This window comes from Homo sapiens, chromosome 22 (genome assembly GCF_000001405.40).
Source record: "Homo sapiens chromosome 22, GRCh38.p14 Primary Assembly".
Lineage (NCBI taxonomy): Eukaryota > Metazoa > Chordata > Mammalia > Primates > Hominidae > Homo > Homo sapiens.
The window spans coordinates 50,013,734-50,031,016 of record NC_000022.11 but is presented as its reverse complement, the minus strand read 5'-3'; the positions used below and the strand labels follow the sequence as shown (position 1 = coordinate 50,031,016).

Below are 17,283 nucleotides of genomic sequence, written 5' to 3'. Positions count from 1 at the left end.
CCCGACCAGCCCCTCCTGCACAGACCCCTCCTGCAGGGACCCCCCCTATCCCGGCCACAGCCCAGCACCCCAACCTGTTCCTTCCCCACAGCCGGTGGTTGAGCCGCCCCCATTCAGCGGGTCCGACCTCTGCGTGGCGGGCGTCAGTGTGAGGAGAGCCAGGAGGCAGGTGCTGCCCGTCTGCAACCTCAAGGCCTCGGCCTCGCTGTTGGACGCGCAGCCGCTGAAGGCACGGGGCCCCTCGGCCATGCCAGACCCTGCCCAGGGACCCCCATCACCAGCTCTCCAGCGGGACTTGGGACTGAAGGAAGAGAAGGGGCTCCCCCTGGCCTTGCTGGCACCCTTAAGGGGGGCAGCCGAGAGCGGTGGAGCCGCACAGCCCACCCGCACCAAAGCTGCTGGGAAGGTGGAGCTCCCGGCCTGCCCCTGTCGCCACGTGGACAGTCAGGCCCCAAACACCGGTGTCCCCGTAGCCCAGCCCGCCAAAAGCTGGGATCCAAACCAGCTAAATGCGCACCCGCTGGAGCCTGTGCTGCGGGGCCTGAAGACAGCAGAGGGCGCGCTGCGTCCGCCGCCCGGAGGAAAAGGTAACCTGCGCCGCCGGCGGTGCGCTGTGGGCTTGGGGGCCGCCTGCTGCATCCCCAACCCTCGCCAGCAGCCGCTGCATCCTCCAGAGCGGGGCGCAGGGCAGGCTTCGGTGCTGGGGCCCGGGGTGTCCCCTGACGGAGGCGCCGGCGGGAGCCGGGGAGCGGGGTTGGGGCACCTGTCCCAGCCCGGCACGGGGGTCTCGGGGTGGGGGGCGTGGGAGTGCCGGCCAGGTGGATGGTGGGGTCCCCTCTGTAGAACCTGGCGGGTGACGCCTTTGTCCCCATACCTCTGGGGTGTGGCGCGGGTCGGAGGATTTGAGTTAGGACCTTGAACAGCGCCGTGAACAGCACCAAGCTCCCTGGCCGAGCGAGGGGCCAAAGTGACCGCGGGGCTTTGGCGTGCGGTTTTCTGAAGGCTCTGGAGGCTGAGGTGACAGGCCTGAGCCACCACGCCCGGCCCCCATCGGGCTCTTCCGAGCCTCGGCCACACGTTCAGACTTCAGGGGCTGCCACAGGCTGCTCTTGGCCTCAGAGTCGCGGAGAAGGACGTGGGGCAGGGGCGCGGCTGACCAGCAGGGCAGCATCAGCCGTTCCTCCCGCGTGGGGGTCTTCAGGACGGCGCGGTGGGGGGTCCTCGCGAGGGCGTGGTGGGGGTCTTTAGGCAGCATGACGAGAGGGTCTTGTTTTTTTTGTTTTTTTGAGACAGAGTCTTGCTCTGTTGCTGAGGCTGAAGTGCCGTGGCGCGATCTCGGCTCACTGCAGCCTCCGCCTCCCGGGTTCGCGCCATTCTCCTGCCTCAGCCTCCCGAGTAGCTGGGACCACAGGCGCCCGCCACCGCGCCCGGCTAATTTTTAGTAGAGATGGGGTTTCACCGTGTTAGTCAGGATGGTCTCCACCTCCTGACCTCGTGATCCGCCGCCTCAGCCTCCCAAGGTGCTGGGATTACAGGCGTGAGCCACCGCGCCCGGCAATAGGGGGGGTCTTTAGGACGGTGTGATGGGGTCTTTACGAGTGTGTGTGGGGTCTTCAGGATGGTGTGATGGGGTCTTTACGAGGGTGTGTGGGGGTCTTTAGGACGGTGTGATGGGGTCTTTACGAGGGTGTGTGGGGTCTTCAGGATGGTGTGATGGGGTCTTTACGAGGGTGTGTGGGGTCTTCAGGATGGTGTGATGGGGTCTTTACGAGGGTGTGTGGGGTCTTCAGGACGGTGTGATGGGGTCTTTACGAGGGTGTGTGGGGTCTTCAGGACGGTGTGATGGGGTCTTTACGAGGGTGTGTGGGGTCTTCAGGACGGTGTGATGGGGTCTTTACGAGGGTGTGTGGGGTCTTCAGGATGGTGTGATGGGGTCTTTACGAGTGTGTGTGGGGTCTTCAGGACGGTGTGATGGGGTCTTTACGAGGGTGTGTGGGGTCTTCAGGATGGTGTGATGGGGTCTTTACGAGTGTGTGTGGGGGTCTTCAGGACGGTGTGATGGGGTCTTTACGAGGGTGTGTGGGGGTCTTCAGGACGGTGTGATGGGGGTCTTTACGAGGGTATGTGGGGTCTTTAGGATGGTGTGATGGGGGTCTTTACGAGGGTATGTGGGGGTCTTTAGGACAGCGTGATGGGGGTCTTTACGAGGGTGTGTGGGGTCTTCAGGACGGTGTGATGGGGTCTTTACGAGGGTATGTGGGGGTCTTTAGGACGGTGTGATGGGGTCTTTACGAGGGTGTGTGGGGTCTTCAGGATGGTGTGATGGGGTCTTTACGAGTGTGTGTGGGGGTCTTTAGGATGGTGTGATGGGGTCTTTACGAGGGTATGTGGGGGTCTTCAGGACGGTGTGATGGGGGTCTTTACGAGGGCATGGTGGGGGTCTTTATGACGGCACGCAGGTGTTGCCGCCTCCCTGATTCCCACTGCGATTCAGGGGCTGGGACCCACTCACGGAGATGCCTCTTGCCCCACGGGAGGCGAAGTTCCTCCTGCAGCAATCCCGCGGCTATGGCCCGCAGGGCACATTCCCAGGTGTGGGGATCACTCAGGAAGGCCAGTGACGTGGCCTCCCAGACACCAATGACTCCCCAGTCCCCACGTGGTCTGCCTGCCACAGGGCAGTGTTGCCGTAAGCAATGTTGCCGACCAAAGGAGTTTATGTTCCCCTTTACCAGGTCACCAGCGGGAGGCAGCTGGAGGCTTAGCCCAGTGCCAAATTACCATGCTGAAGAGGAAAGATCTCCTCTGCCTTTGATCCTCACACACCAGCCATGCCACCAGGGTTCTCCCTCCAGACCCTCCTGCCCGGTGCTGCCAGTTCACTGGGCGGATTGCCTGCCTTCAGAGTCCCCGCAGATGACTGTTGATTCAACCTGGCATTTTGACACCACCTTACAGAGGCCTCTGTCTTTCCAGAGCTGTGACATTTCCTCACCACCCACCAGCTGCTTCCAAAGCCGACACCACGTGTCTGAGGCGCCTCTCACTTGTGGGTGCTGGCGTCCGTGCGTGAGTCAGGTTCCTGCCGCAGTTGCCACGCGTGGCAAACAACTCCAACCCGTGCGTACGAGCGTTTCGCGGTCAGGCCCTCGAGGGCACGGCCGGGAGGAGCTGGGCTTGCTTCCAGACTCCTGGCTGGGCTCAGGCCAGCTCCATGTGCCCCTCGGCCTCAGGCTAGTGCTCGCCTGGTGTGTGTTTGTTCCGTGACAGTCAGGCAACCGCACCGTTGCTCTCAGAGCCTGTGCTGCAAAAGGCCTGCGGCGACAGGGTCACCAGGCCCAGTCCGGCCAGCAGGACAGGAAGTGCGTGCTGGCCCTTGGAGCTTGTTGGCTTAAGAACAGCAAACTGCTGGGACTTTGACTGGGATCACCTTGAATCTGCAGATCTTGGGGAGAACGGACATCCTTTTTTTTTTTTTTTTTTGAGACGGAGTCTCATTCTGTTGCCCAGGCTGGAGTGCAGTGGCTCGATCTTGGCTCACTGCAACCTCCATATCCCGGGTTCAAGCAATTCTCCTGCCTCAGCCTCCTGAGTAGCTGGGACCACAGGCGCCCACCACCATGCCCAGTTAATATTTTGTATTTTAGTAGAGACAGAGTTTCACCATGTTGGCCAGGCTGGTTGGAAACTCCTAAGCTCAGGCAATCCACGCACCTTGGCCTCCCAAAGTGTTGGGATTACAGGCGTGAGCCACCACGCCCAGCAGATTTTTTTTTTTTTTGAGACGGAGTCCCGTTCTGTCTCCCAGGCTGGAGTGCAGTGGCACAATCTCAGCTCACTGCAACATCCACCTCCTGGGTTCAAGCGATTCTCCTGCCTCAGCCCCCTGAGTAGCTGGGACTACAGGCGCGCACCACCACGCCCAGCTAATTTTTTTGTATTTTTAGTAGAGATGGGGTTTCATCATATTGGTCAGGCTAATCTCGAACTCCTGACCTCAGGTGATCCACCCACCTCGGCCTCCCTAAGTGCTGGGATTACAGGCGTGAGCCACCGCACCTGGCCGACTTTTTTTTTAAATAAAGTTTTCCAACCATGATCCAGATCTGGTTCATTTAACCGGGTTCTTTGACTTTCCTCAGTGGTTTTCAGGATAGAAGGTCTGGCAAGTCTGGCATGTCATTCATTAGATGTTTTTCTAGCCATTTGGTGGTTTTTCTTGCCTAGTAAATAGTATCTCTTTCCAAACGGTCTTGTGAAGGTATGACTTACCTACAGTGAGGACAGACCGTAAGTAGACACAGCTTGATGGATTGTCACATGTGTGATACCCACACAGCCACACGGAGCCTCCTGCCTTTTCTAGTCTCTTCTCCAAATGGTGATCATCACTATTGGACTTAAATCATCATCAATTACCTTTGGTGGCCCCTGCACGTCTTACAGGTGGAGCGGCACGGTCTGCGCTTCCATGTCTGACCCTCCGCTCTGAGGTGGCGGCGGTGCAGAATGGCGGGTGTATTTCCGTGTCTGACCCTCCACTCTGAGGTGGTGGCTGTGCAGAGTGGCAGGCGTATTTCCGTGTCTGACCCTCCGCTCTGAGGTGGCGGCGGTGCAGAATGGCGGGTGTATTTCCGTGTCTGACCCTCCACTCTGAGGTGGTGGCTGTGCAGAGTGGCAGGCGTATTTCTGTGTCTGACCCTCCCCTCTGAGGTGGCGGCTGTGCAGGGTGGCGGCTGTGCAGAGTGGCGGGTGTATTTCCGTGTCTGACCCTGCACTCTGAGGTGCAGCGGCTGTACAGTGTGACGAGTGTGCACCCTTTGTCGGTGATAACAGTACTGCATTGCACACATGTGCCAGAGCCCGCCTGGTCCCCTGCTGACGGACAGCTGCCTTGCTTCCACTGTAGGACTGTGATAAATGAAGTTGCTCTGATCATCCTGTTCTGGCCTTTACGGGGACATGTGCCTTTGTCTGTCTTGGCTGTGTGTCCAAGAGTGGCACCACTACGTCATGAAGGATGCTTGGGTTTTGCTTTAGAAGAAACTTCCCATTTCCAATATGGTTGTGGCGTTTTGCACTCCCACCTGCCACGTGAGAGTCCTGGTTGCCCCACATCCTGGTCAACACTGGGTATTGTCAGGCTGTGTTTTTAGCCAGTCTGGTAGGTGTACGGATATCTCATCGTGGTTTTAATTCGTGTTTCTCAGGTGACTAGCCATGCTGAGCACTTTGTTCATTAGCCTTTCAGATATTTTGCTTTGCAAAATGCCTTACTAAGTCTTTTTCCTATTGTAAAATTAGGTTGCTTGCCTTTGGTTAGTTACTTGTAGTGGTTTTTATAGATTCTGTATATTTATTTAATTTATTTATTTTTGAGACAAGGTCTCACTCTGTTGCCCAGGCTGGAGTGCAACCGCACGATCTCGGCTCACGGCAACCTAAGCCTCTGGGGTTCTAAGCGATTCTCCTGCCTCAGCCTCCCGAGTAGCTGGGATTACAGGCACGCACCACCATGCCCAGCTAATTTTGTATTTTTAGTAGAGACGGGGTTTCACCATGTTGGGCAGGCTGGTCTCGAACTCCCGACCTCAGGTGCTGGGATGACAGGCCTGAGCCCCCGCGCCCGGCCTCTTCTGTGTATTTATTTGTCAGATATGCACAGTGGGACTGTTTCCTCCCAGTCTGTGGTTTTTGCCTTTTTGCTTTCTTAGTGATGCCTTTTTTTTTTTTTTTGGAGTTTTTGCTAATTTGTTTTTTTTTTTATTTCTGTGGGTACACAGTAGGTGTATATATTTGTGGGTTACGTGAAATATGATGATGCAGGCATGCGGTATGTAATAATCGCTCAGTGTAAACAGGGTGTCCAGCTTCTCAGGCATTAAATGCTCTTCTGTGATTCCTTCGACAAGCTTTATGGTTTTGACTTTCACATTTTGGTCAATGATGCGTCTTGAGTGAATTCTTGTGTATGGTGTTGTAAAAGCCAATGATACAAATGGGCTCACTCTTGTGCTACACAACTAAATCAGAATCAAGGGGCCAGGGGAAAAAAACACTCAGAACATAACCTGGCACCTGCTCCAAAAATTAAACATTTTGTGAGCCCAGCACCTAAAGCAGCCCCTGTAATCTGAAGACAGTTTTATCTGCGAGCTGCTGAAACAACCTGCTGGGACTCTGAACGTGCTTTCACCCACACCATCATTCACCCATCAGAGCCCCACAGGTCTCCTGGTGCTTACTGGTCTTGCTGGTGAGCTTGCTTGTGAAACAACACAGATCATTTATGTTTCTAAGAAAACTCCCAACCTTGTCTTTGTTCTTCGGACGTAGTGAGATCACCCCGTCTGTGTATATGCCCTGAATTGCAATTCTTGCTTCCTAAATAAAACGTTAAATTTAGATTTTCCTGTGACTGTCCAGTTGTTCCAGCACCATCATCAAAAAGACCATCCTTCCTCCCACTGAATTACTTGGGCATCTTTGTCAAAAATATACTCTCTTGAAGGAATTCTGGATTATTTATGCTGTTTCAACAATCTATTTACCTATCCTTATGTCAATACCACACTGTCTTCGAAGTTTTCAAATACGACAGTGGTGGCTCACACCTGTAACCCCAGCACTCTGGGAGGCCGAGGCGGGCGGATCATTTGAGGTCACAAGTTGGAAACTAGCCTGACCAACATGGCGAAACTACTAAAAAAAAAATAGCCAGGCATGGTGGCAGGCACCTGTAATCCCAGCTAGTAAAGAGGCTGAAGCAGGAGAGTTGCTTGAATCCAGGAGGTGGAGGTTGCAGTGAGCCAAGATCGCGCCATTGCACTCCAGCCTGGTTGACAGAGAGAGACTCCACCTCAAAAACAAAACACAAAACAAAACCAAATATGATAGTATACATTTTCCAATTTTGTTTCTTCTTCAAAATTGCGTTGGCTACTCTATGTCATTTGAATGGTTTTGTTGTTGTTATTGTTGTCTGTTTGTTTGTTTTGAGACAGAGTCTCGCACAGTTGCCCGGGCTGGAGTGCAGTGACATGATCTCAGCTCATTGCAACCTCTGCCTCCTGAGTTCAAGTGATTCTCCTGCCCCAGCCTCCCAAGTAGCTGGGATTACAGGTGCCCACGACCATGCCCGGCTAATTTTTTGTATTTTTAGTAGAGATGGGGTTTCACTGTGTTGGCCAGGCTGGTCTCGAACTCCTGACCTCGTGATCTGCCCACCTCGGCCTCCCAAAGTGCCGGGATTACAGGCGTGAGCCACCGCACCTGGCCTGAATTTTCATGTTAAGTATTTATTTATTTATTTATTTATTTATTTATTTATTTTGAGACGGAGTCTCGCTTTGTTGCCAGGCTGGAGTGCAGCGGTGCGATCTTGGCTCACTGCAACCTCCGCCTCCCAGGTTCAAGCGATTATCCTGCCTCAGCCTCCTGAGTAGCTGGGATGACAGGCGCACACTACCACGCCCAGCTAATTTTTTTGTATTTTTAGTAGGGACGGGGTTTCACCGTGTTAGCCAGGATGGTCTCGATCTCCTGACCTTGTGATCCACCCGCCTCGGCCTCCCAAAGTGCTGGGATTACAGGCGTCAGCCACCGTGCCCAGCCTCATGTTAAGTTTTAAAAAGACCTGCTGGGATGTTTATTGAGATTGTGTCAAATCTATAGATCATTTTGGGGAGAATTGATATCCTACAATATTGAGGCTTCTGATCCCTGCACATGATGTATCTCAACGTTTATTTAGGTTTTTTTCAGTTTCTCCAAGCAATATTATTGCATAGTTTTCATTACATTTATTCCTAGGTATTTGATGGATTTTTGATACTTTTATAAGTATATTTTACAAATAAATTTTGATAATTTTATCAATAGTATTTGAAATTTTATTTTCCAATTGTTTGTTGCTAAAATGTGCGAAATGCCCTGGTTTTGTACATGGACACTGTGTCCTGACGTGTTGGTAAATTCACCTCTTGGTTCTGGTTTGTTGCTAAAATGTGGGACATGCCCTGATTTTGTACATGGACACTCTGTCCTGACGTGTTGGTAAATTCACCTCTTGGTTCTGGTTTGTTGCTAAAATGTGGGACATGCCCTGATTTTGTACATGGACACTGTGTCCCAACTTGTTGGTAAATTCACCTCTTGATTCTGGCAACTTGTAGATGCCTTTGGGTTTTCGACAAAGTCACATCACCTGCAAATCAATTCCGTTTCACTTCTTCCCTTATGATCTTTATGCCTTTTGTGTCTTATTCTTGCTGCTCCACACCTACATGGACCTGCAGAGTTAAGAGTGGGCAGGAGTTTCTTAACTGTGACAGGGGATGCTGGGTTTTCATCAAAACACATCGTCAGATGGAGGAGTGCACGTCGTCAGATGGAGGAATGCGCATCAGATGGAGGAGTACACATTGTCAAATGGAGGCGTGCACATCAGATGGAGGAGTGCACATTGTCAGATGGAGGAATGCATGTCAGATGGAGGAGTACACATTGTCAGATGGAGGAGTGCACGTCAGATGGAGGAGTACACGTCAGATGGAGGAGTACACATCATCAGATGGAGGAGTACACATTGTCAGATGGAGGAGTGCATGTCAGATGGAGGAGTACACATTGTCAGATGGAGTAGTACACATCATCAGATGGAGGAGTACACATTGTCAGATGGAGGAGTGCACGTCGTCGGAGGAGTGTGCATCAGATGGAGGAGTGCACATTGTCAGATGGAGGAGTGCACATCAGACGGAGGAGTACACATTGTCAGAAGGAGGAGTGCATGTCAGATGTAGGAGTGCACGTCGTCAGATGGAGGAGTGCACATCATCAGATGGAGGAGTGCACGTCATCAGATGGAGGAGTGCATGTCAGATGGAGGAGTGCACATCGTCAGATGGAGGAGTGCACGTCAGATGGAGGAGTGCATGTCGTCAGATGGAGGAGTACACATCATCAGATGGAGGAGTGCATGTCAGATGAAGGAGCGCACATCATCAGATGGAGGAGTGCACGTCAGATGGAGGAGTGCACGTCGTCAGATGGAGGAGTGCACGTCAGATGGAGGACTGCATGTCAGGTGGAGGAGTACACATCATCAGATGGAGGAGTGCACGTCAGATGGAGAAGTGCATGTCATCAGATGGAGGAGTGCATATCAGATGGAGGAGTGCACGTCGTCAGATGGAGGAGTGCATGTCAGATGGAGGAGTGCACGTCGTCAGATGGAGGAGTGCACGTCAGATGGAGGAGTGCACATCAGATGGAGGAGTGCACGTCAGATGGAGGAGTGCACATCATCAGATGGAGGAGTGCATGTCAGATGGAGGAGTGCACGTCGTCAGATGGAGGAGTGCACATCATCAGATGGAGGAGTGCATGTCAGATGGAGGAGTGCACGTCGTCAGATGGAGGAGTGCACATCAGATGGAGGAGTACACATCATCAGATGGAGGAGTGCACATCAGATGGAGGAGTGCACGTCAGATGGAGGAGTGCACGTCATCAGATGGAGGAGTGCATGTCAGATGGAGGAGTGCACGTCGTCACATGGAGGAGTGCACGTCAGATGGAGGAGTACACATCATCAGATGGAGGAGTGCACATCAGATGGAGGAGTGCACGTCATCAGATGGAGGAGTGCATGTCAGATGGAGGAGTGCATATCAGATGGAGGAGTGCACATCAGATGGAGGAGTACACATCGTCAGATGGAGGAGTGCACATCAGATGGAGGAGTGCACATTGTCAGATGGAGGAGTACATGTCGTCAGATGGAGGAGTGCACGTCAGATGGAGGAGTACACATCAGATGGAGGAGTGCACGTCAGATGGAGGAGTGCACATCAGATGGAGGAGTACACATCATCAGATGGAGGAGTGAATGTCAGATGGAAGAGTGCACATCAGATGGAGGAGTGCACATCATCAGATGGAGGAGTGCAGGTCAGATGGAGGAGTGCACATCAGATGGAGGAATGCACGTTGTCAGATGGAGGAGTGCACGTCAGATGGAGGAATGCACGTCAGATGGAGGAGTGCATGTCAGATGGAGGAGTACACATCATCAGATGGAGGAGTACACATTCAGATGGAGGAGTGCACGTCAGATGGAGGAGTGCACGTCAGATGGAGGAGTGCACGTCGTCAGATGTAGGAGTGCACGTTGTCAGATGGAGGAGTGCACGTCAGATGGAGGAGTGCATGTTGTCAGATGGCGGAGTGCACGTCAGATGAAGGAGTACACATCATCAGATGGAGGAATGCACATCAGATGGAGTGCACATCGTCAGATGGAGGAGTACATGTCAGATGGAGGAGTGCACGTTGTCAGATGGAGGAGTGCATGTTGTCAGATGGAGGAGTGCACGTTGTCAGATGGAGGGGTACACGTCGTTAGATGGAGGAGTTCACGTCAAATGGAGGAGTGCACGTTGTCAGATGGAGGAGTGCATGTCAGATGGAGGAGTACACATCATCAGATGGAGGAGTGCATGTTGTCAGATGGAGGAGTGCATGTCAGATGGAGGAGTACACATCATCTGATGGAGGAGTGCATTTCGTCAGATGGAGTAGTGCACGTCAGATGGAGGAGTACACATTGTCAGATGGAGGAATGCACGTCAGATGGAGGAGTGCACGTCATCAGATGGAGGAGGGCACGTTAGATGGAGGTGTGCACGTCAGATGGAGGAGTGCACGTCAGATGGAGGAGTGCACATCAGATGGAGGAGTGCACGTCAGATGGAGGAGTGCATGTCAGATGGAGGAGTACATGTCAGATGGAGGATTGTGAGTCATTAGATGATTGTCAGTTGCTTTTGGTCATCAATTTTTGTAAATATTTCTTGGTGCAAATAATATGTAATTCTGAAATTGTTCAGTATCATGAGTTGGGCCAGATTTGTTTATTGTGTTGTTGACATATTTCATTTTCTTAGTTTGCTTATCAGTTACTAAGAAAAGTATGATAAGATGCATGTAATTCTGTCAGTTCTTGCTTTAGAGTTTTCAGATTGTTACTAATTTTATTTTGGTGAGGATTTTCCTGGTATGTTTTTTCTTTCATCATTATATAAGCTTATGTTTTACATATTTCTCTGCATAAAATTCCGGACTGCCAGTGTCTTTTAACCAGTGCATGTAACATTTACGTTTAATGTAATCATGTACATGGATTCTGTGGTGATTGATTCTGCATAAGAAATCACTGCAAAGCAGAGCTGTGGCAAAGCAAACATTTATCCTCCACATTTTCTGTGGCTCAGGAGTCCGAGAAGGGCTCCTCGGCATGGTGCTGCTTCAGGGATGCTTCTGAAGCTCAGTCCCGGTGTGAACTGAGGCAGCCTCATCTGAAGGTTTGCCTGGAGCTGGGGACCCACCTCCCTGATGGTGCACCCCCCATCAGTCCCTCCCACGTGGACCTTCCACAGGGCTGAGTGTCCTCACAACATGGCAGCTGGCTTCCTCCAGTGAGTGATTCAAGAGAGACCACTAGATTCATGAGGTCTTTATGACCTCACCCAAGACATCACATACCCCTGCTGCCCCTATATTCTACTGGCCATGCACCTCAATCCTGATCCAGACAGGAGGGGAGCACACATGCGTGATTGCCTGGGGGTGAGGATCACTGGGGGCTGCCTTGGAGCCTGATGACCACAGTACCTACCATTTGATTTCATTTAACTTTTGTTGATCTCATCTATTCTATGTTCCTTTTTCTCTCTGTTCTTGCCTTAGTTTTCATTGACGCTTCTTCTCTCATTTTGGTTTTTCCTTCTTCTGGTTTGGAGGTTACAGACTCTGTTTCTGGTGTTTTACTCACTGCCTACAAATTACTCATTGCACGTTAAACTTATCAAAATCTAAAGTGAAGGAAGTCACACTTATACCCACCTGGCAATATATCGACTTTGAAGCCTGGAAAATGTGAAGTCCCGTGCTCCCTTCTGACTTCCTGCTATTGCTGTCAGCCTGTTTAATAATGTTTTTAACAGTCTACTGGGCATGATTATCATCATCGCTTGCACAGCCAGTGGTTTTTAGATTTACTACATACATTCCTCTTTGCCCTTCACTCTTCCTGAGTCTCAGACTTCCAACCATGTTCATTCTGAACCACTTTCTTTCTGCTCAAGACAGTGTCCCTTAGGAAGGTGCCAGTGATGGGACGTTCGGATGAGCTTTTGGTCTGTCAATATCTTTTCCACACAGGTTCATGACAGCGTCAGATTCTCTGCAGCAGGAGTACAGGTTGCAGCCACTCTCCCGCCGAACATTGAATACGTCTTTCCACCATCTTGTCTTTGCTGTGGCTCTGGGAAAATCAGCAGAGTCAGCCATCACTCTCCAAGGGGAGCTGTCAGTTCTATCTGCCAGCTTTTGAGTGTTCAGTTTGATTTTTACTTATTCAACCTGGAATTTGAATGTCTTTGATGTGTGCGCTGGTGTCATTATTCAATTATGGGACTCTCTCAGCCATTATGTCTTTAAATATTGCCTCCACCCCGTTCTGTCTCTTTCCCTTTGGAATACAAACTAAATGTTTGCTAAGCCTTCTCTCTCTCCCGGTATCTTTTAGTCTCCCACTTCTTTGTTTGATTTATTTAGCTGCCTGTGCTGCATTCTAAAAATATCTCCTCGCCTGTCTTCCAGCTCATTTCAGAATGCTATCAACCCATTGAAGTTTTAATTTCTTAAAGTTTTCATTTTTAGAAGTTCTACTTTTTAATAAAATTATTTGATCTTTTTTCTTTCTTTTTTTTTTTTTCTGAGACAGGATCTCACTCTGTCACCCAGGCTGGAGTGCAGTGGTGCAGTCACAGCCTCCAACTGCAGCCTCCAACTCTCAGGCTCAAGCGATCCTCCTACTTCAGCCTCCTGAGTAGCTGGGACCACAGGTGTGCACCATACCCTGCTGTTTTTGATTCACCCTTGCACCCAGCTGTTTGGGGCTGCATATTGTTGGGGGCATGGGGTGTCTTCTGTCCCCACACTCCAGGGCCTTGGGACCCAGAGCTCCAGGTGGCCCTGGTGGCAAAGTCTCAGAGGGAGGAGCTTCGGGGCCGGGCACCTTTCAGAGCGCCCTCTCCTTGGGCTCACTCACCTTCCCTGGCCTGGACCTGGTCCTCCTTTACCGTCTTGCCTGCTGCTTTTGCTTGTTTTTGTGATGCTTTTCCTATCTTATGCCCTTATTTGGTGGTTTTCCCTGGAAGGGCTGGTCTGGGTCCCAGACTCCCAGGTACTGAGTGCACCCCATGGGCTTTAGTGGCTCCCCGGAGCCTGCTGACACCCCACAATGAGTCTCACCCCAGCCCTGGCCTCCATACAGGGTTGGGGCCCAGGCCTTGGGCCTCCCCTCCCTCAGCAGGGTCCAGGCCCCACACCAGCTGCTCGGTTAGCTCATGCATGCTCCATTAATCACGCACAGACACACGGAGAGCCGCAGACACCACGTCCCCTCCTCCTTCACTTAGGGTGGGCCCAGCCTCTGCCCCGACTTACTGGACACACACTTTCTGGGCACCCCGGTGGGTCCCATCAGGCCCTGGGTGCCTGGGGGACAAGGCCCTGCCCCGCAGTGCTACCTGGCCTGCTGCGCTGGGCCACCCTGGCAGATTTGACCTCCCAGTCCTGTGCCCGGCCTCCGTGCGTCTCTCCGCTGGGATGAGAGCCCTGGGGAGTGGGAGCTGTTCCCACCTCGTTCTTCCTGCTGCTCATGCCCTGCTTGTGCCACGTGGGCCCTGGCCTGTCCTATGGGCCAAGCTGGCCCAGCCCTTCCGAGGTTCCCGGAAGCCAAGGACTGCTTTGCATAGGCACTGGGGGCTCTCCCCACCCAGCCCCCCAGGAAGAGTGACTCAGCCTGGGGCTCGGAGTTTGCCGTGGGCGGTGGGTGCCCCAGCAGGGTGGTGCCTGCACTTCTGGGCTGGGCTGTGGCTGCTTGGGAACCTACAGCCCTGGCGGCTAGGAAAACCAGGGAGTCCCCTCTTCACCCCACATCCCTACCCCACCCTGGGGCTCCTTCTGTCCCTCCCCCACCAGCTATAGCTGCAGCAAGTGTGCAGGCTGGCCTTCCCCTAGTCCTTCCTGGCCTGGGCAACCTGAAGTTTGACTCACCAGCCCCAGTACATGGGGGACGGGGCTTGGCACAGGCTCACCCCACTGAGAAGGGCTGGCCAGGGACCCGGGACAGCCCCAGGGCAAGGACAGCGGTTGGAGGCCAGTGAGAGCCAGGCCAAGGCCCCAGCCTCTCGGATGAAAGGGACACATGGTGGTCACACCTGCCAGCCTTGCCTATCCTGTGACGCTCCGAGGAACTGCGTGAAAGTTCTCAAAACGCAGCAGCTCCCATGCAGGGGGTGGCCTTGCTGAGTGGCCAGCCCTGCGGTGGACGGCAGCTACCTGCTCTCACCCATCACGGCTGCCACCTTTGAGTCCATGCAGGAGAGGGCACGGTCTGCAGCCGCCTGCCACACCACGGGCACCACGTGGCCGCCTGCCAGACCACGGGCACCACGTGGGATGGTGGGCCTGGGGTGTGCTTCCTCCGGCAGCTCCTGGCATCAGAACTGCCCATGGGCCCTGGTGAGGTCTGACCACAGGTTGTGGGTAGCAGGTCTTCTAGCTCCACCAGGAGCCCCAGCCCAGGCCCACTTCGAAGGTGCCAGTGTGTCCAGATGGCCTGCACTGGGTGCAGCCTCTTGTGGGGACTCGGTGGCTCCTGGAGCACCCCCAGTCTTAACACTCCCACCTCCCTCCTGACCCCTCCAGCTGCTGACCCATCCTGGGACTCTGTGGCTGGCCCAGCATGCTGCTGGCCCTCGCCTGCAGGCACCGTCCTGAACCCACCACCCACTTGGTCCTGGCCCAGTGGGGATGGGTCCTCAGCACCAGGCATCTGAACCTGAGCCCAGGCACAGCAGGGCAGGACGAGTTGGGGTGGGGGCTGCTCTTCTCCAAATCTCCTGGCCGGTTGGGTCCTTCTAGGCAGGACTCACCTGGAGGAGGGCTGAGAGAGGCTGACAAGCTAGAGGCAGAGCTGGACTGCCCCTCTGGGGTGGGGGGCCAGGTGGAGGGGCGTTAGGGAGGGTGAGGGGGGTGGGGAAGGGGACCTCCCATCCGCAGAGCCTTCATCCCAGAGGGACGACACCCTACCCCCGCCCCCCTGCGTTTGAGTGGAGGTCTTGGTTTTCCGAAAGCTGGGGGAAGCAGGTGGGCTCCATGCAGGAGCGAGTTGGGAGCCACCTGGGGCTGGTCTTGCAGGTGATAAGGGTGACCCTGGGGGGCCTGCCTGGGGGCGTGGCCTTGAGGGGCGCGGGCGTCGCCTGTTGGTGGGTGTGGATTGAGGGACGGGTGGGTGCGGTCCGGGGACCTGGGGTCGAGGTCAAGGGGCGCTAGGCACAGTCAGGGGGCCTGGGGCGCGGTCGGGGGTGGGCTGGGGTAGGAGAGGACAGGGGCGAGGTTTCAGGGATCTGTGGGCTCAGGGTCTGTGGACGCAGTCCAGGGTTCCCGGGGGGTGTGGGAAGGTCAGTGGGCTGGAGGAGCGGTGGCGGGGGGCGGGGTGGGCGGGGCCCGGGGACGCGACTGCAGGTGGAGGAAGGCGCTGTAGGGGGTGGGGAGTCCCGGGGCGCGCCGGGGCGGGCGAGTGCTGTCGGGGTGGAGGGAGGCGCGGCCGGGGAATGTGGGGCCGGCGCACGCGGTCTCAGCGCCCCTCCCTCCCCAGGGCTGCCGAGGGACCCCCGAGCGCCGCCCTGCCTCGTGTGCCGCGGGCTGCTGCCACCCGCCGGGCCCTGCAAGCGCTGCCGCTCGTTCTGCGCCGCGGTCCTGCAGGGCGCGTCCTTCGTGCGGCTCGGCGGGCGGAGCTGCAGCCCGCGGACCCCGTGAGTCGGGACCGGCGCGGGGACCAGGACGACGACCCGGAGCCACGCGCGTCTCCGTGGAAACCTGCGCGGAGCTGAGGCCGAGAACACAGCGCTGTTGTGGTGAACCCGCGTCCTCGCCGTGGTTTTCTTGGGAACCTCGTGCCCAGCACCCCCGCACCCGCTCCGGACCCTCCGAGCCGCTCTGGGGAAGGCTCCAGCCCGGGTCCCGGGCGGACGCTGGTTCGTTCCTTCCCGCGTTCGTCCGACGAGTCTCGGCGCCGCCCAGGGTCTCCGCACCCCGTTTCCTCCCATCTGGTGCCCAGCGCGGGCGCGGAGGGAGCCCCCGGGGTTGGACCCTCAGATCCCTTCACCGTTGGGCTTCTGGGCGACCGATGGTCACTGGGCTGTGTGGCCGTGCTGCCCTGGAGACCCAGACTTGGAAAGACCCCACCCCCACCCCAGGCCTCGCCCAGCTGCGGTGGGTGATCTCGGTGGCCGGGGCCCGCCCAGGAGCCCGTGGCCTGGCTCTTCATGGATACTGAGCAGGGCCAATCCCCCAGCCCTCAGAGACAGGGCTGGAGCCCTCTGACCTCAGGCTGGAGAGGGTGGCCGGGGGCCTGGGGCAGAGGGCAGAGGCCGGCCCCACTGTCCTTCCCTGGGCCTTGGAACCAGCACCAGCCACACCCCGTGGGCCGTCCCTACACGAGATCACCGACTACTGGCCACCTGCAGCCCCTGCCTGCGTCACGGCACGCTGGGATGGCGCCTTCAGGCAACGGGTGTGTCGTGGTGGGGGCCTGTCCCAGAGAGGCCTGGAGAGAGGTTTGGGTGTGAGTGGGCCCATGGGGGAGGGACATTTGTCCTTTCCCAATGATCCTGCTGGCCGTGCCCATGGACATCGTCTGGGACACCCCTGCCACAGTACAGCAGCCCCCATCGTCCCCTGGTATAAGGAGGGCTGGAGGCCAGGCTGAGGGGCGAGGCCCAGCTGGAGTATCTGTCTTACAGCTCAGCCAGCCTGGGATAGGGGATGACAGTGGCCCGTCCTGAGCCACCCCCAAATGTGCCTGCCTGCTGCTGACCATGCCGTGGCATGGAGGCTGGCACTAGCCACTCTCTCCAGGGCATTGTGGCCACAGGCACGCTGCTGCAGGGGGCGGGCTCAGCCCCATCTACTCTGCCCAGCAGTGAGTGCATAAGTTCCAGCCCATGGAGGGCTCTAGGCCAGGCGGGGGCAGGGTCGAGGTGCTGGCCCAGGAGGCAGGGAGGTGGGCAGTGCGGGGTGGTGGGAGGGAGGGAGGACTTCACGGTCACAGCAGCCCCTGCCGCCTTCCCTCCCCTGGGACCGAACCCCAGAGCTTGTTTCTCAAGCTCCCTCCTGACTACCCGAGCCCACAGTGTGAGGCCCACA

The 17,283-nt window shown here is 55.4% G+C and overlaps 1 protein-coding gene across 7 annotated transcripts in view, besides 3 other annotated features; it reads left to right on the top strand.

Annotated features, from left to right (window-relative positions):
* TTLL8 (tubulin tyrosine ligase like 8) overlaps positions 1-12,442 on the top strand; it is a 39,724-nt gene extending 27,282 nt beyond the window's left edge. For 6 of the 7 annotated variants that reach the window (XM_024452173.1, XM_024452172.1, XM_024452174.1 and 3 more), the window contains 2 exons: positions 92-587; positions 2,736-3,498. In XM_024452173.1, coding sequence (XP_024307941.1) covers positions 92-587; positions 2,736-2,815 — 576 coding nt within the window. In that variant the 3' untranslated portion in view covers positions 2,816-3,498. Of the gene's footprint in view, positions 1-91; positions 588-2,735; positions 3,499-12,225 lie in introns of those variants that run through there. The other variant, NM_001350317.3, reaches the window with a different exon arrangement.
* Positions 701-770: a silencer, noted in NCBI's record as "silent region_13948". NCBI's record gives its function as "represses an Ori minimal core promoter by ATAC-STARR-seq in GM12878 lymphoblastoid cells {active_cell/tissue: GM12878}" and the evidence as "EXISTENCE:reporter gene assay evidence [ECO:0000049][PMID:35858748]".
* Positions 791-890: a silencer, noted in NCBI's record as "silent region_13947". NCBI's record gives its function as "represses an Ori minimal core promoter by ATAC-STARR-seq in GM12878 lymphoblastoid cells {active_cell/tissue: GM12878}" and the evidence as "EXISTENCE:reporter gene assay evidence [ECO:0000049][PMID:35858748]".
* Positions 13,657-13,716: an enhancer, noted in NCBI's record as "active region_19296". NCBI's record gives its function as "activates an Ori minimal core promoter by ATAC-STARR-seq in GM12878 lymphoblastoid cells {active_cell/tissue: GM12878}" and the evidence as "EXISTENCE:reporter gene assay evidence [ECO:0000049][PMID:35858748]".